At 50.2% G+C, this 19880-nt stretch overlaps 1 protein-coding gene across 18 annotated transcripts in view, besides 4 other annotated features; it reads right to left on the bottom strand.

The window, feature by feature from the left end:
- Nucleotides 8928-9057: an enhancer, noted in NCBI's record as "active region_15442". NCBI's record gives its function as "activates an Ori minimal core promoter by ATAC-STARR-seq in GM12878 lymphoblastoid cells {active_cell/tissue: GM12878}" and the evidence as "EXISTENCE:reporter gene assay evidence [ECO:0000049][PMID:35858748]".
- Nucleotides 9108-9187: an enhancer, noted in NCBI's record as "active region_15443". NCBI's record gives its function as "activates an Ori minimal core promoter by ATAC-STARR-seq in GM12878 lymphoblastoid cells {active_cell/tissue: GM12878}" and the evidence as "EXISTENCE:reporter gene assay evidence [ECO:0000049][PMID:35858748]".
- Nucleotides 9198-9257: an enhancer, noted in NCBI's record as "active region_15444". NCBI's record gives its function as "activates an Ori minimal core promoter by ATAC-STARR-seq in GM12878 lymphoblastoid cells {active_cell/tissue: GM12878}" and the evidence as "EXISTENCE:reporter gene assay evidence [ECO:0000049][PMID:35858748]".
- The window catches only part of DNMT3A (DNA methyltransferase 3 alpha), a 114717-nt gene continuing 105381 nt past the window's right edge, over nucleotides 10545-19880 (bottom strand). For 13 of the 18 annotated variants that reach the window (NR_135490.2, NM_022552.5, XM_005264175.6 and 10 more), the window contains 3 exons: nucleotides 19607-19676; nucleotides 18378-18496; nucleotides 10545-17091 (listed from right to left, as the gene is read on the bottom strand). Coding sequence is in view for 17 of the 18 variants with exons in the window: in NM_022552.5 (NP_072046.2) it covers nucleotides 16950-17091; nucleotides 18378-18496; nucleotides 19607-19676 (331 nt within the window). In the remaining variant the exon portion in view is untranslated. Of the gene's footprint in view, nucleotides 17092-18377; nucleotides 18497-19606; nucleotides 19677-19880 lie in introns of those variants that run through there. The other 5 variants (NM_175629.2, NM_153759.3, NM_001320893.1 and 2 more) reach the window with 3 other exon arrangements.
- Nucleotides 12174-12904: an enhancer, noted in NCBI's record as "H3K27ac-H3K4me1 hESC enhancer chr2:25452372-25453102 (GRCh37/hg19 assembly coordinates)". NCBI's record gives its function as "activates a minimal SCP1, AML or CMV promoter by ChIP-STARR-seq in naive H9 embryonic stem cells {active_cell/tissue: H9 hESC(naive)}" and the evidence as "EXISTENCE:reporter gene assay evidence [ECO:0000049][PMID:30033119]".

Consider the following 19880-nt stretch of genomic DNA (forward strand, 5'->3'; position numbering starts at 1 on the left):
TGGATCACTTGAGGTCAGGAGTTCGAGACCAGCCTGGCTAACATGGTGAAACTCCGTCTCAACTAAAAATACAAAAATTAGTTGGGCATGGTGGCCGACGGCTGTAATCCCAGCTACTCAGGAGGCTGAAGTAGGAGAATCGCTTGAACCCGGCAGGCGGAGGTTGCAGCGAGCCGAGATCGAGCCATTGCACTCCAGCCTGGGCGACAAGAGTGAGATTCTGACTCAAAAAAAAAAAAAAAAAAAAAAGGTGTTTTCTGGGAACAGCCTAGGTAACACAGTGAAACACCATCGCTACAAAAAAAAAAAAAAAAAAAAAAAAAAAAAATTAACTAGGCGTATGGCATCCCTGTAGTCCCAGCTACTTGGGAGGCAGATGTGGGAGGATCACTTGAGCCTAGGAGTTCCAGGCTTTAGTGAGCTGTGATCATGTTGCTGCAGTCCTGTCTGGGTGACAGAGTAAGACCCCATCTCTAAATAATAAATAAATACATACATAAGTGATATTTTCCAAGAATATTTAGTGATGTGGGAAAATGTTCACAATAAAATGTTCACAGAAAAATATCTGGCACAAAGTGGCAGTAAATGCTAGTAATTATTAAAAAACAGGGTATTAGTGAACAATGTGGTTTTAAGTTAGTAAAGTATATGTATCTAATACAAAAGAAAAAAGAAACATTCCAAAGGTGATTATCTCAGGAAGGTGGGATTATGAATAATTTTTACTTTTTCCTTTTTTTGGTTATTTTAAAATTTGGTGCAGTTAATATAATTTTAGGCCTAGGAGAAAAAGGTCCTGTTATATCAGTTTGTTTTTTTTTTTTAAGCCCTTGATTCATTCTTTTCAATGTAGAGGTTGCTCTGAGAGCCCAGGCGACCCTCCCCTTGGGCAGATGCTTGCTTTGAGGAAGTGTGGAGAGTGGAAACAGCCTGGTGGGCTGGGATGTTGGAACAGCACCTCAGCCCTTCTCCCTGGCAAGTTGTGTAATCTTAATGAACCTCAATTTTCCCATCTGTAAAATAGGCGTAATTACCTGAGGCCTTTGCATGAGAATTATATGAAGTAATTCATGTAAAGGACTCAAGCCGGGGCTCACAGGAAGTTCAGTCATGTTTGCAGCTGCAGGAGCAAATTCCTCAGACATAGTGGACACTCAGTAACAAAGATGGCTGGGCGCAGTGGCTCACGCCTGGAATCTCAGCACTTTGGGAGACCAAGGCAGGCAGATTACTTGAGCCCAGGAGTCAGAGACCAGCCTGTGCAACATAGTGGGACCCTGTCTCTACAAAAAATACAAAAATCAGCTGGGTGGGCTCTCATGTACCTGTAGTCCCAGCTACTTAGGAAGCTGAAGTGGGAGGATCACCTGAGCCCGGGAGGTCGAGGCTGTGGTAAGCCCTGATCGTACCACTGCACTCCAGCCTGGGTGACAGAGAGAGACCCTGTCTCAAAAAAAAAAACAAAAAAAAAAAAACAAGAACAACAACAACAAAACCAAACAAAAAACAAATGCTGCTTCCCTTCTCCTTGCCCTTGGACACTGTGGACGTAACCTAGGTGTTTCGGCAGCTGAGTTGGGACTAACTTAAGAGGTCCCAGACATTGTCAAAAACTCCCTAAACCATGGTCTGCCCAGTAAAAGAGGCTTCTAAGACAGTGAGAGCCCCTGTTCTGGAGATCTCTGCAGGTGCGATTACCGATTCACTCAACAAACAGATAGTGAGCTTCCAGCGGTACAATGGAGGACAACATAGTCAGTTTCTGCCCTCTTGGATTTCCGTTCTAGTGAGGGAGACACAATAAATAAGTAAACAAAATGATTAGCAATTGTGATAAGAGCCACAAAAGACACAAAGAGCTGCAACAGAAAACTGAAGTGAAGGGGTTCAAATGTGAGGCAGGGATGGGCCTCTCTTGGGAACTTGGACCAGCACAAGGGTCTGGGACACCATAGCTGAGGTTACCCCAAGCCCAACCTTCCTGTGCCACTGCCTGGTTCTCCTGGAAGCCCCTAGACCGGGCACCAGAGCAATGCAGTGGACCCACTGGGCCAAGCCCCTGGGTGGTCAGAGCCTCCAGAGAAAACAGGTGGCCCTTCGCTCCTTTACTCTGTCCCAAGCCCTTCCCCATTCTCTACTTCATCGAATCCTCAGCACAACCTGTGAGGCAGACAGGGCCCAATTCTTTCTCTCCCGTCTAAGCAGAGCGTAGGACTGGTGAAGAGAGTCACTCGAGGTCACACAGCCAGTGGGGAAACTGACTTGGCCCTGGCCTCCAGCTCCTGCCTGTGCTTCCCCTCCCCTCTGCAGAGCCAGCCCCCTGGGGTGGTGGGTGGAGAAGGACCCAGGGCTAAGGCAGGGGAAGGCTGAGGGGCCGCATATCCAAACCCTCAAAGAGAGAGTGAGGAGCTACCACTCCCCGGGGGACCAGCCCGAGGCCTGTGAGAGGTGGACTGGGAGCAGGTAACCTGCAGTGGACAGACAGGTTTTGAAATGTGGGTGTTGCCACTGTGCACCTGTGACCATGAGTAGAGTATGTGTCCCATCTGTAAAATGAGACAATATTACCAGGCACAAGGGTTGTGAAGTTAATACAGAACCATTTCTGGTACATGCTGAGCACTCAGTGCACAGTAGTTGTAACAATGATTATAACTACCACATACAATTATGTATGAGACCTGGTCTGGGCCCTGGGGATGCTGGAGAAACAAAGAAGAGTCTGCCCTTGCAGAACTTTTATCTTAGTGCAGAAGACAGACAACAAATAGTAAGCAAAATCATAAGTAAGGATGTCAGAGGCTGACAGTTCTGAAGATAGTACATAAAATAAAAAGGAGTGGGTATAAGGCTACTTGAGGGCTGGGCACGGTGGCTCAGGCCTGTAATGCTAGCACTCTGGGAGGCCAAGGCGGGAGGATTGCTTGAGCCCAAGAGTTCAAGACCAGCCTGGGCAACACAGGAAGACCTCTACCCCTGTCTCTACAAAAAAAAATTTTTAATTAGCCAGGAGGTCAAGGCTGCAGTGAGCTCTGATTACACCACTGCAATCCATCCTGAGTGACAGAGCAAGACTGTCTCAGGAAAAAAAAAAAAAAAAAAAAGACTACTTGAGCTAGAGCAGTCAAGGAGGATTTCTCTGAGCTGAGACCTGAATGATGGGAAGCAGGCAGAGGAGGGAGATGAGAGCTTTCCAGGCAGAGCCTGGAGCACGTGCAAAGGACCTGTGATGGTGGAGAGCTTGACGTGGTCATGAGGAAGAAGGCCAGGCTGCTGAAGTGTTGCTTGAGGAAGGTGGGGCTTTGCAGGCCAGGGTAGGAGAGTTTATTCTCACTGCCATAGCAACAAGATGGTTTTTTTTTTAAAAAAAAGCGTTTTATGTTTTGTTTTGTTTTGCGACAGGGTTTTGCTTTGTAGCCCAGGCTGGAGTGCATCGGCACAATTTTGGCTCACTGCAGGCTTGACTTCCTAGGCTCAGATGATTCTCCCACCTCAGCCTCCCAAGTAGCTGTGATTACAGGCATGTGCCACCATGCCCGGCTAATTTTTGTATTTTTTGTAGAGACGAGGTTTCGACATGTTGCCCAGGCTGGTCTCGAACTCCTGACCTCAAGAAATTCACCTGCCTTGGCCCCCCAAAGTGCTGGGATTACAGGCGTGAGCCACCTTGTCCAGACTAAAAAAGGGTTTGATTTTATCCATTTATGCCTAGCATTCCATTATTGGAAAGCTAGGCATGTGGGAGTTATTTATATCCTACTGCTCAAGATCATCACCAAGGTCTGATTGCAAAAATTCAAAAAATTGCAACCTCAGGCATGAATGGGTTAATGAGATTATTCTGTGTGTCGAAAGGGCTGGAAGGGACAGGAACAGAAGCAGAGAGACCTGTTGTGGTATGAAGGGGACAGAGATCAGCTAGAGGACAGATGATGGGGACTTGGACTACAGCTGCAGCAGGGACAAGGTGAAAATGGCCGAGTTGGGGATACATTGAAAGGTGAGTGCTGTCAGAATAAGCTGGTGGTGGCCGGGTGTGGTGGCTAATGCCTGTAATCCCAGCATTTTGGGAGGCTGAGGCGGGCGGACTACTTGAGGTCAGGAGTTCAAGACCAGCCTGGCAAACATGGAGAAATCCCCGTCTCTACTAAAAATACAAATATTAGCCAGGTACGGTGGTGCACTCTTGTAATCCCAGCTACTTGGGAGGCTGAGGCACGAGAATCGCTTGAACCCGGGAGGTGGAGGTTGCAGTGAGCTGAGATCGCGCCACTGCACTCTAGTCTGGGTGACAGAGCAAGACTCAGTCTCAAAAGAGAAAAAAAAAAAAGAACAAGCTGGTGGACTGGCTGTGGTATGGGACAGAAAGAGGATCAAGGCAGAGTTCAGCACCAGCTAAGCACCAGTTACTTTAAGATCAGAAGATTGGGAGCAGGTTGGGAGGAGACCAAAGATTCTGTTTTTGACAGGTCACATCTGAGATGCCTGTTGAACACCCAGGCGGAGAGGCCCAGCTGAAATTTGGTTATAGGAACCTGGGCCTCCAGAAGTCAGGGAGTGGAAACAGATCCCGGAGCCCTGGGCCCTCCACTGTCTAGAGAAGAGGAAAGGGAAAGGTAGGAAGCCTAGGGAAAAAGGGGTTTCAGGGAGGCGGGAAGTCTCCTGGGTTGTAGTTGCTGAGGGCTCATGTAAGAGTGGAGGGTCCCAGGCCCCTGGAATGGATGGAGGAGAGGCCGGAAGTGAAGACAGCACAGTCGTCAAATACAGAGGGGGCTTTCAATCTTTGCTGTCAAGTGGAGCAGAGAAATAGAGCGGGGCTGGCCGGGCGCGGTGGCTCACGCCTGTAATCCCAGCACTTTGGGAGACTGAGGCAGGCGGATCACAAGGTCAGGCGATTGAGACCATCCTGGCTAATGCAGTGAAACCCCGTCTCTACTAAAAAAATAGAAAAAATTAGCCGGGCGTGGTGGCGGGTGCCTGTAGTCCCAGCTACTCTGGAGGCTGAGGCAGGAGAATGGCGTGAACCCGGGAGGCGGAGCTTGCAGTGAGCCGAGATCGCGCCACTGCACTCCAGCCTGGGTGACGGAGTGAGACTTCGTCTCAAAAAAAAAAAAAAAAAGAGAAATAGAGCGGGGCTTCAGGGGGTGGTAAAGGGCAGTGTGTGTGTCTGTGTGTGTGTGTATGTGTGTATGTGCATAAAACAGATGGGTGCCATGAGGCGTGTTTGTGTGCTCTGGGAGAAACAGTGAAACTGATGATGCCAAACAGAGCCACGTCTGAGAAGCATGGTGGGATTCAGAGCTGCACGGGGAGGCTGCAGAGAGGCTAGAGAGACAGGAAGGGAGGGGTGGGTTATGGGGGGAAGGACAAGGGAGATAACAAAGTTCTCACACTGGGCCAAGCAGTGACCAATAAGGGTTGCCTATTGCTGTCACCTCAGCTGATGCAGGGCTGGGCAAGAGATGGCCATTCAGTGGGGTGTGGGGGGAATATTTTATCCACCTCTGTGTTTAGGTGTAGTGGGGCCTTGTGATTCCATCAGGACCAAAGCTTCCCTGGAGGCTCCAAATTCCTTTTCATGATCCAAGAAACACCCTGACTTTGGCTAACACCCTTGGTTCTGAGGGCAGGGCTCCTTGCAGTCTATCGCCTCCCAGCACATGGCAACTAACTCCCCACACCCACTGCTGGGGGTGGAGCCACCAGAGGCCACATGCAGGAAGAGAGAAGACAAAACCCAAGTTGCCAAGGAGAAGACCCAGGCCCAAGGTCACACAGGATGCAAATCGGGGGTTCCAAATACCATGGACTTTCTTTTTTTTTGAGATGGAGTCTCACTCTGTTGCCCAGGCTGGAGTACAGTGTCTCCATCTTGGCTCACTGCAACCTCCACCTCCCGGGTTCAAGCAATCCTCCCACCTCAGCCTCCCAAGTAGCTGGGTCTATAGGCATTTGCCACCATGCCTGGTTAATTTTTGTTGTTGTTGTTGTTGTTTTTTAAGATGGAGTCTCACTCTGTTGCCCAGGCTGGAGTGCAGTGGCACTATCTCTGCTCACTGCAACCTCCGCCTCCCAGGTTCAAGCAATTCTCCTGCCTCAGCCTCCCAGGTAGCTGGGATTACTGGCGCCTGCCACCACGCCTGGATAAGTTTTGTATTTTTAGTAGAGATGGGGCTTCACCGTGTTGGCCAGGCTGGTCTCGAACCCCTGACCTCAGGTGATCCACCCGCCTCGGCCTCCCAAACTACTGGGATCACAGGCGTGAGCCACCGTGCCCGGCCCTGATAGACTTTCTTCTAACCAGGACACGGTTCAGGGCATCGGGGCTTAGGGATGAAAAATTAGGCGCTGGCCGGGTTGATCCCTGAGGTTTGAATCTATCTCTGAACATTTCTGTGTCAGTTGTCCATCCCTTGGAGGCCTAGGCCTCCACCCATAGTCCCCAAAGCAACAGATACGTTACTCCTACAACTGCACCGCCTCATAGGGTCACAGGTGAAATGAGGAAACTGCTGCTGAGGGACTCAACCCTTTTAAAGTGTATTAGAGGCCGGGCGTGGTGGCTCACGCCTGTAATCCCAGCACTTTGGGAGGCTGAGGCCGGTGGATCACCTGAAGTCAGGAATTCGAGATCAGCATGACCAACATGAGAAACCCCATCTCTACTAAAAATACAAAATTAGCCGGGCGTGGTGGTGTACGCCTATAATCCCAGCTACTCGGGAGGCTGAGGCAGGAGAATCACTTCAACCTGGGAGGTGGAGGTTGTGGTGAGCTGAGATCGCACTGTTGCACTCCAGCTTGGACAACAAGAGCAAAACTCTGTCTCAAAAAAAAAAAAAATGTTTATTAGAGCCAAGGAGAAAGGGAGCTTTGGAAGTAACTCTAGAAGACAGTCCCAGGGGTCCCGTCCCCCTTGGATGTGACTTTGTGCCCCCACCTGCAACTAAACTTGTTGTTGGCCTCATAGCAGCCATGTGCCCACACCCACACCCCTCGGAATTACATCCACTCCCCATGCTGGCAGCTGACCCTACTATATGCACACTACTATATGCACACTTGGCCTCTTCACCAGCCAGCTCCCAGGCAGCCTCTTGTCTCCCTCTCTCCTCCATTCCACTCGAGACCCACTGTGCTGACCCGGCAAGCCTGGGCCCGGTGCGCAGCATCTCCACCACACCCAGGCAGACACAGGGCTGGAGCTGCCCACTGAGGCGGTCTCAGGGACTGCGGACCTGTCACTTCACAACTACCTTGACTCAGCCCAGCCCTGACCCTTCTCCTGTCTCTCCTTACCCCTCTGCCACCAAATGACGCCTTGCTTAAACTCAGGACTGTCACAGGATCATTATTATTATTATTATTATTATTATTATTATTATTATTATTATTATTTTTTTTTTTGAGACAGAGTTTTTCTCTGTGGTCCAGGCTGGAGTGCAGTGGCGCCATCTTGGTTCACTGCAAACTCCCCCTCCCAGGTTCAAGTGATTCTCTGCCTGAGCCTCCCAAATAGCTGGGATTACAGGCACACACCACCACGCCCAGCTAATTTTTTGTAATTTTAGTAGAGACGGGGTTTTGCCATGTTGCCCAGGCTGGTCTCAAACTCCTGAGCTCAGGCAATCTGCTTGCCTCGGCCTCCCAAAGTGCTGGCATTACAGGTGTGAGCCACTGCACTCGGCCTGTCACAGAATGGTATTTATTAACCAAATGGCTCCAGTAGCTCCCTCTGTCCCGTAAGTTCTTGCCAGACCTCCCACTCCCAGCTCTGATGACACTGGGACAATCAGGCATGGCTTCCAGAGCTAAAGGGCACCAATGCCCACCTCTCCCAGCCCTCCCATCTCTCTTTGGAGCTAAGTCTTGAAGATTCAGTCCGAGTTCCATCTCCTACCAGGATTCCTCCAGATAAGCTAATTTTCAAAATTCAGTGGCCAGATGAAATTGCTTATACCTCTTGCTTCTTGCTAATTTCTAGACTCTCAAAAAGAAAAAAAAATCTTGGGTCTTGACTTCCCCACTGAGATGAACACATTTCTGAATTGGTCCAACTAAGAACCAGGTTTGCTTCTTTCTGAACTGACAGCCTGAGAGCTGAAGAACCAGGCAAATGTGTGAGGAGCCAACCAAAATGTGCAGCTACTTTGCTCCAATAAGTTTTATTTCTGGGAATCCATTTTAAGGAAAAAATACAAAATATGGACAGAAAAAAGCCAAAACATAAAGATGTTTACAGAAGCTCTATTTGTAGCTAAAATAAAAAAATAGAAACAAATATCCAACAAGAAAGTGCCACGAAGCCATTTAAAAAAAAAATTCCAGCCAGGCACAGTGGCTCACGCCTGTAATCCTAGCACTTTGGGAGGCCGAGGCAGGTGGATCATGAGGTCAGGAGATCGAGACCATCCTGGCTAACACGGTGAAACCCCGTCTCTACTAAAAATACAAAAAAAAATTAGCCGGGCATGGTGGCGGGCGCCTGTAGTCCCAGCTACTCGGGAGGCTGAGGCAGAATGGCGTAAACCCAGGAGGTGGAGCTTGCAGTGAGCTGAGATTGTGCCACTGCACTCCAGCCTGGGCGACAGAGCGAGACTCTGTCTCACGGAAAAAAAAAAAAAAATTCCACTACTAAAGAACTCATCCATGTAACCAAACCACCTGTACCCCAAAAACTATTGAAATAAAAATAATTCTACATCAACACTGAAAAATACTAAGAAAAAGTACAAGTTAAATGTATAGTTACAACTTTGTGAAAAAAGAAAGACGTGCCCATGAGGAAAAAACCTGTTAGTTTAGTAGGGTTGTCCCCTTTTCCTCAAACGTTCCCCTTATAATTTCTTTCAATACTTCCAGTGAAGTGGTACAGTCCTAAACCTCCCTGAAACCTAATGTAAGAGAGAAACCTTGAGTAACCCTTCCTCTTTTTTTTATTTTTTATTTTGAGACAGAGTCTCACTCTGTCACCCAGGCTGCAGTGCAGTGGCACAATCTTAGCTCACTGCAATCTCCACCTCCCGGTTTCAAGCAATTCTCCTGCCTCAGCCTCCAGAGTAGCTGGGATTACAGGTGCCCACCACCATGCCTGGACAATTTTTGTATTTTTAGTAGAGAGAGGGTTTCACCATGTTGGCCAGGCTGGTCTCGAACTCCTGACCTCAAGTGATCCACCTCCCTCGGCCTCCCAGTGTGCTGGCATTACAGGCGTGAGCCACCATGCCCAGCCAAGTAACCCTTCTTTAAGAGAAGCAAGCACTGGCTAGACCTGCTAGGCACTTAGAAGATGAAACTGAAACACAGATGCTTGAGGTCTTAGAGTTGAGATGTGGTATGAATCATCCCAGTTCTTGCATTTATTCAGATGGTCACATTTATTTATTTATTTATTTGATACAGTCTCGCTCTGTATCCAGCCCACACTGGAGTGCAGTGGCGCAATGAGAGCTCGCTGCAACCTCCACCTCCCAGGTTCAAGCAATTCTCCTACCTCAACTTCCCAAGTAGCTGGGATTACAAGCGTGCACCACCACACCCGGCTAATCTTTGTATTTTTAGTAGAGATGCGGTTTCAGCATGTTGGCCAGGCTGATCTTGAACCCCCAACCTCAGGTGATCCATCCACCTCAGCCTCCCAAAGTGCTGGGAATACAGGCATGAGCCACTGCGCCCAGCCAGATGGTCACTTTAGATAGGTGGGGACAGAGAACTAGTGATTATTGAGTCATGCAGACAAAGGGAACACTGGGTGAAGGGCTCTGCAGACCATGAGGCACTGTCCACTTGCAAGACAGCTCTGGGGAGGGCCATACAGTGAGAGGAACTCAGACTTGGGGTCTGAAGGGAAAACTGGGGGTATCCCTGAGTGGCTGTCACTGCACTCAAGGTGGCCCTTGCATTGTTGGCTGGAGCAGGGAAAGGGACCTCCCTCCCCTTATGCTGAGCTGACACTGGCTTCCCCCACACCATTCCACCTGCCTGTGGAACACCTGGAAAGACCCCGGCCCTTTGGGCTCGCCCTGTCCGTGTTTACAAACATTGGCCTACCAATTCCTGCTTTTTCTAGGACAAATGCCCCGATTTGTTCTGGGGCCCCTTGACATTCCCGACCATCTACCACTCTGGATGCTCGCTTGTTGCCAAAACCCTGTTTAGAGTTTGAGTACCTAGGTTCAAAAATCCTCCTCGCGCCGTGTCTGACCAAGGCATTGGCATAAGGCGCGCTCTTCTCCCTGCTCTGGTATGAAAACTTCTGTTGCTCAGCCCAGAGCTGAATTTGCTTTCCCAGCAACCCTGTCTCACCATAACTTATTTTTCAGCTTCCAGTCAACCAAACTCTTTCCTGCACCCAGGGGACAGCTCCCATTTACTAATTTGATGCTCACACAGGTGACGTTTTTTAGGGAGGCCCTACATCATCTGGGCCCGACGCTAGCACCTCCCCGCTTAGGTACTTGAGCCCCCTGGAGGAGGCTGTGAACAGTCATGGCAGGGAAAGGAGACGCAAGACAAAACGACATTATTACGGTGCTTTTCCATTTTTCTTTTTGCACAAAAACAGTCCATTTATTCAAGTGTTCTCCAGCACAAGTACATTAGAAAGGAGCTTTATTATATTCTTCTGGGCACAAAAAAAAATGTGATGAAGGCGGAACTGACAGACTTTCTACATCTGTTGTACGCATTGACCTCTTTAATTATTTCATAAACAGCTATGTCACGAGCATCACTTACACAGAGATACAACAGGACACCAGGCGGGTGGGGCAGGGACCCCTCGGGCCCCCACTCGCCCTTCCCTGAATGTCCTAGAACCAGACTGTGAAATGTACATTATTATTGTCAATAAATAGAGAAGCAACCCTAAAAAAAAAAAAAAAAAAAAAAAAAAAAAAAAAAAAAAAAAAAAAAAAAAAATACAGTGGTGAAAGGATGCTGGAACCAGGAAAAAAAAATAATAATAATAAAGGAGAAAAGAGGAACTTAAGAGAAAGGAAAGAGGGCTGGGGAGGGAAGAGTCTGGGAAGTCCTGCATTTAGCTGCGTGGAATGTGGAGTAAAAGTGCTCTGCCACCGGGGTCAAAGCGAAATCGTCTGTAACAGTAAAAGTTATTACCAAATCAGCTACGGAGTTTATTCTTCAGTATGAATACATGATTTCCCACAAATAAGTAAGCACCCGCTACTTCAATGCCTCAGCTAAAACACATGAAATCGCTCATTTAGTTTTCAAGTACAAAGTTAAAATGCCTTTTTAATAATAATATATCAGAGTAAAATAATAGTCTCTTTTAAACTCCACTACAAGAAAACAAAACAAACAGTCATTGTCCAGACAGCAGACTTAATTTAACAATATATATTTTTAATAAAATGTTTTAGCACCTTGGTGAGTCACCTCCTCCCTCTGCGTATTCTAAGGAATTTCAGCATTTTTGTTGTCTGTTGAATTCTAGGGCTGTGCAACCAAATCGGTCTGTGAAGTGAAATGGGACTAGGGGATGCTTTAGACCGCTGCTCATGTTCTCAGGCACAGGGTTGGAGGCCGCTAGGCTGGGGCTGAGGGAGCCGCCCTCCTCACCCCCCAGTGGAGCTGAGCCAGGGAGCTTTCCAGTTACGGGAGTTTCGGGAGTCCCAGGCCCTCTGGTGGGGGAAGTGAGTAAGTCACCACCAGCAAAGGGATCTTGTGTCCTTGTCCTCCCTGCTCCTTGCTTGTTTCTCCCTCCCCCAAAACTCTGCTGCCTCGGGTCAGAGACAGGTCACCCACCAAAGGCCCACCTTAGCTGGGTCTCGGAAACACAGAGGCAAGGTTCCCCAACTCGATCCTCAAAGACCCTGGCCTGCCTTTACCAAAACGTAAAGATTCCAGAGCTCACACTACAACAGCAGAGTCCATCCTCTCACCCCTTCCCTCTCCTCCCGGTCCTCCTGACCCCAGCACAGGGCCTGGTAAGGAGGCGGCTGACACTTTCCTTAATCCTGGCTCAGCAGGGCATGGCCAGAAGGGCCATCCCAGCTCCAGACCATTCCTCCACTACACCTTTTCCACCCCCGGGATTGGGAGCGGGGAGGTTTCAGCTGCTCCCTGGCAAACAGGCAGGACTCCCAGAGGACAACTCCAGGGTCGCTCTCTAGTCTCCAGCACTGAGAGCAGGCAGCGTGGAGAATACGCAATGACAAACTCAGATTACTCACCTCCCGGGACCAAAACAGGGGCCTGGCTAGAAACTCGGTTCCCACCAGAATGTTGGCTCTGCCGTGCTCCCGACCAAAGGAAGCAAGCAGCCCTCTTCAGGGCACAGTGCCAGGCAGCACCCCCTCCCTGCCCTGGCCCTAACCCACAGCTTGAGGGGGATCCTAAAAGCAACAGCTCTGAAAGACACTTGGGGCCACTGCAACTCCGCACCAAGCAGAGTAGCAACAGGAATTCAAAACTGCCTCCCAAATGTACTCTATTTATATAAGCAAAACTATGAAATGAATGACTGCAGTTTTCCTATAAGAACATCTCCCAGATGGCTCTGCTGAAATATTCCTTCTACTGCTGGAGAAGGTGGGTGTTCCCATCTAGGCTTCCCCAGAGTCGCCATGGCCTGGTGGCCAATTATCGGGAAGCAAGGGGAGCTGGGCCCTGTGAGACCCCTTTGGTGTCAGCCTTCCTTCCTGCTGGGGTGCCTGTCCCAATCCACACTCCTGCAATGCGCCAAAAATCACACAGGCATCTCTACCAGTCAATCACACCCAGGCCTGTTTCAAAAGCTAACAGGTCCCGGGTGCTCTCTTGGAAAGTTTGCTTTCCAATAGGATGTTCAATAGCAAGAAGTCTCTGGGGCCTAGAGACAAAAGGACAGCAACAGATTCATGTCATCATCTATGGACTGCAGACCCCTGCTAGTGCCCGCCTGCGGCCCCCCAGTCTGCCGGTGCACCAGCCTGTCGCTCCCGTGGGGCGGGGGGTTAGTACCAGCCGCCTGCTGGAAACTAGCTTCCTGCTTAGGCAGGAGGCCAAGGACTGTGTCCCCAGCACGAGCACCTGGCTACCTCCCCCAGGCAAGAGCCACGGATCTCTTTGGCATCATGCGCCACCTGGCACCTGCAGGGGAAGCTGTCATCAGCCCCCAGAACCCTTGTTTCTAAGGGGGAAATGGGCCTACTCTTCGGAAAGAAAATTCCACAGGGAATATGCCTGGCAATTTTCCCTAGGCCTTCTTGGTTCCCCCACTCCACTGCCTCTAACCTCTGCCTTATCTACAGCCTGCTGAAGTTCAGCACCCCTTGGAAGGTGACCCAATACCTGTCCCCAGAGGCCCCAGCGTTGAGGTGGATTAAGCATATCTCAGCTTGGCCAAGTTGGCACAATCCCAAAGCCCCACACTCTCCTAAATTCTACTGTGAGACCAAGCACACAGGCTGGGCCGGAAGAAAAGCTGGTGATTGTTAACTCTCGTCCCTGCAAGGGGGGGGGGGGGGGGGCCATGACCCCTGGGGCATCTGGTCCATTCTAGGGCCTGGTCAAGTGGCTAGATCTGGAGGAACAAGTGCTCTCAAGCTGTCAGCCATAAGGGCTCCTCTGTGCCCAGCACTCCCTCCTCGAGCAAGCCGGCCCACAGGAATCCCCCAGGCTTGCCATGCCCTTGGCTACCAAGTCTCTTCCCAAGTCCCAACACCAACCCTTTGGTTGGAGCACCAGGCCCAGTTCCGGTGGAGCTTGGGCCGCTGGGAAAGGCTAACTGTCACTAAGCAGTGGCTTGGGAGAGCCTGAGCCTTAGAAGACTCTGTCCTGACCCTGGGAGCCGGGAAGACCTTAGCATTGGCCAGCGGGGGAGGGAGCACCTTGGACTGCCTGAGGCAGCCCCTCCTCCCCCAGCCCTCCTGGAGTGGCGCTGGTGGACTCCAGGCCCGAAGGACAGAGCCCCGCGGGAGCAAGGAGGAGCTGGGTGAGCACCACAGTTAGCACAGGGACTCCACTGAGGGGGCAGAGGCTCCCTTCCTCGCTGCTCCAGCCCCACAGCAGCCCAGTCACCACCTGTCAAGAGGTGACAGGAAGCAACTGGGCATGATCTTAAACACCAATCTGTCGAGGAGACAGTAGATTGGGGTCCAGGACCAAGCACCCCAAAAAGGGGTGAGACCGGCCACCAGCTGTGTGAATTTACTCCTGAGTAATGAGCAGGGGGTCCAAAGCCTTGGTTTGGTTTTGTCACTAATTACTAATTTGGTTTATTCAATAGGTGAGGTTCACTGTCCCATTTTTTTTCCCCAATGGAAGCCCCCTGGCCAAGACAGACCTGGATGTCAATTTGATTTCAGTTGGGGAGAATAGGTAGGGGGAGTTGAGGGCTGACTTGACTGGTGCCTAGAGTTGCAGGTCAGTATCACAGGTTGCTAACAGAAGAATCTTTTGACATCACCAGGGGCAAAAGAGATAGAACACTACCTGCTAGAGGAGAGCACCTGCTAAAAGAAACCTCCTCCTTTTCCTGCCTCAGCACCTAGCAACTTCTGGGATTGACAGTCTACCTGCAATCAGGGCAACAGAGGTAAATAGCTGCACGGGCTGACTCCACAAAGTCCTGAACCCTGGGAGAAGAGTGCTGGGAGCCCCCTGGCGTGTGTGTGTGTGTGTGAGTGCATTCATTATGCATCAGTACAGAAATATGCTCCTGTGTATGCGTGTGAGATTGACTGATTGGTGTGGGGTTTAGGTCTGCAGTGGGGACCGAGGCTCAGCACACTAAGCCTGCTTCCCCCACTCCCCACCCCATAATATTTCTTAAACATGACCCTATCTATGTATTTATAGAGCGCCTATCACTGTAGGCCCCATCTTTCTAGGGACGTGGACTTGGGGCCATGTGCTTGCCGACACACCTCCCAGCTCTACCAGTCCCAGGAGGTGCCATCCCCCCTCCCATTATAAAATATATATCTCTATATGCCACATATCTACACCCCATCTACCCAGGCAAGCACCTGCCCGTCGGGCCCTCACCCTGGAGCCAACAATGCCATCCCTTCCTACTACTGACGCCAGGCCGCCTGCCTTGTAGGAAGTAGAACAAAGTGTTGAGCACTTGGGGCTCCAGGTGCTGCTGACTCGAGGTAAGAGCACAGCTATCATCAGACCAAGTACTAGAAAAGAAATACACACCACTCCAATCACACACACAAGGAGAGAGACGGCCGGTCCTCCCTCCAGCCCTGACACACCCGACTCAAGAGGAGGGGAAGTAGAAGAGAAGAGTGACAAGCCCAGAAGGCAGACCTTGGGGACTCCCTGGCCGCCCAGCTGTCACCATGCCCAGTGGCCCACCTGGCCCGAGGGGTGGGAGCCAGGGCACCAGAGCCACCGCTAACTCAGAAGCACCCTGCTCCCGCACCTTGGTTTGAAACCTAAAGGGAAGGGTGTTGGGTTTTTGTTTTCTTAAAGAAAATCTTAAAACAAACATAATTATAACCAGAACCATAAGAATAATTATAATAAAAGGTGTCATCAGCCTCCCAGTATAAAACTGCAGCCTTTGGAGATGACCAAAAACATCACATTCCAGGGGCCGGGAGCCGCCTTGTGCACAGAGGGGTGGATGGTGGGGGCCTCATAAAAGAACACACAAAAGGCGACTTAGACAGGAAAGCACCAGTACGTTTTGTATGTTTTTTTATTTGCTCCAGGTGGGGTTTTGACTGTCACTTTCCCACACTCTGGATTAGTTCTGATCCCACCACAAGGAGCCCTCGAATTGGCTAAAGTGAGAAACTGGGCCTGAAGACTCCGTACCCTCTGCCATCTTGCCGAGGGAGTCTCCTTTTAGAAAACAATCAAAGGGTTATTGCATGAGTCTGGATGAATCCCACTCTCAGCTGTCCACGGGCCCGACCACCTCATCTAGCCCCCTTTTTGGCAGGGAGAACCTGGCTCCCAAGTTCTCCTCCTTCACTTCGTTACAAACCAAGGGGAAGAGCCCACCGTGAGAACGCGCCATCTGCAAGCTGTCTCCCTTTCTCCATCCTTGGTGAAACCCTTTGCGCAGAAGGCAACGTGGAAGCTGATGTTTTTACTCATCTCGCTGTTTGAAAGCACCATTATGAAGTCGGGTTGTACAGTAGTTAACAGTACCTTTTATATATATATCTCATATCTATCATATATATATAAACTGTAAACAAGAGGTAACAGCGGCTTCTAGAAACTGATTTTCTTCAAGGTTTCCTGTGTGGTAGGCACCTGAAATACTGTAGAAAAATGTCTTGTGTGGTGTTCTCGTCTCCCTGCTGCTAACTGGGTTCTGTTTTGCGTGACCAGGAATGGTGCTGGCACGACAGCTCAGTGGCTGGGAGGGAATGCTGCCGCCTGAGTGTCTCTCTCTTTCCGTCCCCTGCTTGTGCTCCTATCTGATCAGGCTAGAGACAACAAAAAAAAGATATATAGTAAAAAAAAAAACCCAAAAAAAAAAAACAAAAAACAAAAAAAAAAACAACCCAATATATAGATTTCTATAGAATTTCCTTTTTTCCTCTCTCCCACCTTTCCTCTGCAAGGTATTGTTACTATTTTTTGTTACTGATTTTTGCTGCAATAACCTTCTTGTTTCAGTCACAGCAAGAAACAAAACCCAAACAAACAGAAAACCCCTCTGAAAAGAGTAGAAAATAAAAGGTCTGACCGAAAAAAAAGGGAAGGGGGAGGAAGGGAAGGGAGCTTGGTTTTGTTTTTAAATAGGACTGAAGAATAACATTGAAAAATCAGGAGATGATGTCCAACCCTTTTCGCAAGGCAAAGCCCTCCGGTATTTCCGCCTCTGTGGTTTTTGTTTTAAATTCCTTTTTCTCTTCTGGGTGCTGATACTTCTCTCCATCCTCATGTTCTTGGTGTTTTATTATGTTTTGTGTTTTTTGTTTGTTTGTTTAACTTTGTGTCGCTACCTCAGTTTGCCCCCATGTCCCTTACACACACGCAAAATACTCCTTCAGCGGAGCGAAGAGGTGGCGGATGACTGGCACGCTCCATGACCGGCCCAGCAGTCTCTGCCTCGCCAAGCGGCTCATGTTGGAGACGTCAGTATAGTGGACTGGGAAACCAAATACCCTGGGGGAGAAAAGGCAGAGAGGGCAGGGTGAGTGCTGGCCAGACCAGGCTGCCCGGAAGCCGTCTAACCACACAGCAGGACCCGGAGGACCAGCAGCCACCCGAAGTGCAGGGACAGGGGCACTCACACCCACCAACTCCTCTGACGCCTGCTTAGTTCTGCCGAATCTTCTGTCCTTTATAAACAACCCGGCACTCAGATCACCAACCATGTGCCAGGCACTGTGCTGGTTTCTGTGACCTTAAAGGTAGTAAGGTCATCACTGCCTAGAGTTTCACAACCCAGCAGAAATAAGAGTAATTTTGAACAATCCCTCAGAAATACCTCCAGGACACACTCTCTAGTTCTCCTCTCCTGCAGGGTTAGCTCGGCAACGTACACCTGGAGTCTGCATGTAACGAACACGTAGCCCTAGCATCCTCCCCATCAAGAGCAGGGAAGGCGAAAAAGGAGCCGAACTCCTGCCTGACTTCAGAAGCTGAAGGATTTCCTGTTTGCTCTGGTTGTTTGTGTAAATGGTCTCTTTGTCTGGCTAAATCCTAGTTACACTCAGAGAACAAGAAGGTCATCCAGCCCCGAAAGTCCCATTTGCATCAAATCAGGGTGTTGAGGCTGCGAGGTCTGCCTGGCCCTATGCTGGCTTGGTTTACAAAAGACCTATAAAATTGGCACCACAAGTTAAGGTCCTGTCACTGCAGTGGTTCCCTGGGGGATCAGCAGGGTCTCTGGGAGACAAGGCAGCAGGGGATTTCCTAGACTCCTCTTTTTTTTTTTTTTCCCTTTGAGATGGAATCTCTCTGTTGCACAGGCTGGAGCACAGTGGCGCAATCTCGGCTCACTGCAACCTCCACCTCCCAGGTTCAAGCGATTCTCCTGTCTCAGCCTCCTGAGTAGCTGGGACTACAGGCACCCGCCACCACACCCAGCTAATTTTTGTATTTTTAGTAGAGACGGGGTTTCGCCATGTTGGCCAGGCTGGTCTCGAACTCCTGACCTCAGGTGATCCACCCGCCTCGGCCTCCCAAAGTGCTGGGATTATAGGCATGAGCCACTGCTCCTGGCCCCTAGACTCCTCTTACTTGGGACCAGCCTTAAAATACCCAGGAGCCTGGGGTGTCAGGAGTCCACCCCAGGAGTCTGCCATGTTGGGAAATGCTTGATAAAACCCACTGTTCCCAGGACGTTTGTGGAAAACAAGTCAGGTGGGAAAGGCAGAGGACCCCCGCAGCAAGCACAGCAATCAGAACAGCCACACCGCAGCCAGATGCCAGCACAACCCGGGTACCTTTCCATTTCAGTGCACCATAAGATGTCCTCTTTCTCATTCATGAAGACAGGAAAATGCTGGTCTTTGCCCTGCTTTATGGAGTTTGACCTCGTAGTAATGGTCCTCACTTTGCTGAACTAGATGAAGAGGAGAAAAGAGGAATAAGCACGAATTCATTCACCAGCCAACACTGGTCATGCGTCTACCAAATATGCCAGGTACTCGCCAAACCCTGACAGGGCCTGGTCCACCCAGGGGGCTGGGTATGGCTCTGAGTGAGCAGAGTTCGCAGGGCAGGAGCCTCCACAGACCCCACAGCCTCACTTTTCTTCCTACTTGGAGGTCACCTGGCCAATCTTAGATCCATCTAGCCACAGACTTTTTTTTTTTTTTTTGAGACGGAGTCTCGCTCTGTCACCCAGGCTGGACTGCAGTGGTGCGATCTCAGCTCACTGTAACCTCCACCTCCCGGGTTCAAGCGATTCTAATGCCTCAGACTCCTGAGTAGCTGGGACTACAGGCGCCCGCCACCATGCCTGGCTAATTTTTATATTTTTAGTCAGACAGGGTTTCACCGTGTCGGCCAGGCTGGTCTCAAACTCCTGACCTCAGGTGATCCGCCTGCCTCGGCCTCCCAAAGTATTGGGATTATAGGCGTGAGCCACCGCACCCGGCCTAGCCACAGACTTTAGAAGTAGAAGCTGTAGCCACTGTACTTTCCAAGTCTTCCAAAGAATTAGTTCTTTCAGAGATGGAGTAACTTGTAGGCTAAAGGATGCCAAGTTACTGAGGGGCTCAAAGATGCCCTCGGAGCTGCCAGTGGTTCTGAATGCTGGAACCTGCTGACACAGAACCCAGTGCCCCAGGTAGTCACTCCGGGAGATTCCAGCTCCAGAGAGAAATGGAGCTTCCACATCACAGGAGGCTGCTTTGAGGGCTTTTGTAATAGGTTTTGGCCAAAAAATTTAAAAATGAAAAAAAAGCCACAGCACAACCAGGTCTTGGTAAAGACTCCTCAGTGTCTACCGGGGGTGATGGGCGACACTCACCAGGGAGGAAGGGCTGAAGGCCAGCAGCCCTGGGCCCTCCTCTGGCTGCCCTGCTGCATGACCCTGCACCGTCTCCTAAATTGCATTCTCCACACTAGCTGGAGAAGCAGGCGGGACAAGGCCCTGGCCACCGCTCCACCTCATCCTGCCCTTCCTTCTCCCTGCCCCCCAGCAGAGGTTCTAGACGCTGGAGCTGACCTTGGCTATCCTGCCATGCTCCAGACACTCCTGCAGCTCCAGCTTATCATTCACAGTGGATGCCAACGGCCTAGGAGGCAGAAGAGAGACTGTAACAACAGAAACCTGGATAACAGCGGGAAGGGCCCCAGCTGCACGACTCCCCTCCCTCCCCCAGCAGCCACTAGTTCACAGGGTAAGAGCCCCTTCCCCAAATCACGCACACACGTCATAACTCTCTTCAAACTCCCCGCAAACACACGAACACACACTGCAGCCATGCAAAGACACAAAT

This window comes from Homo sapiens, chromosome 2, assembly GCF_000001405.40.
Source record: "Homo sapiens chromosome 2, GRCh38.p14 Primary Assembly".
Lineage (NCBI taxonomy): Eukaryota > Metazoa > Chordata > Mammalia > Primates > Hominidae > Homo > Homo sapiens.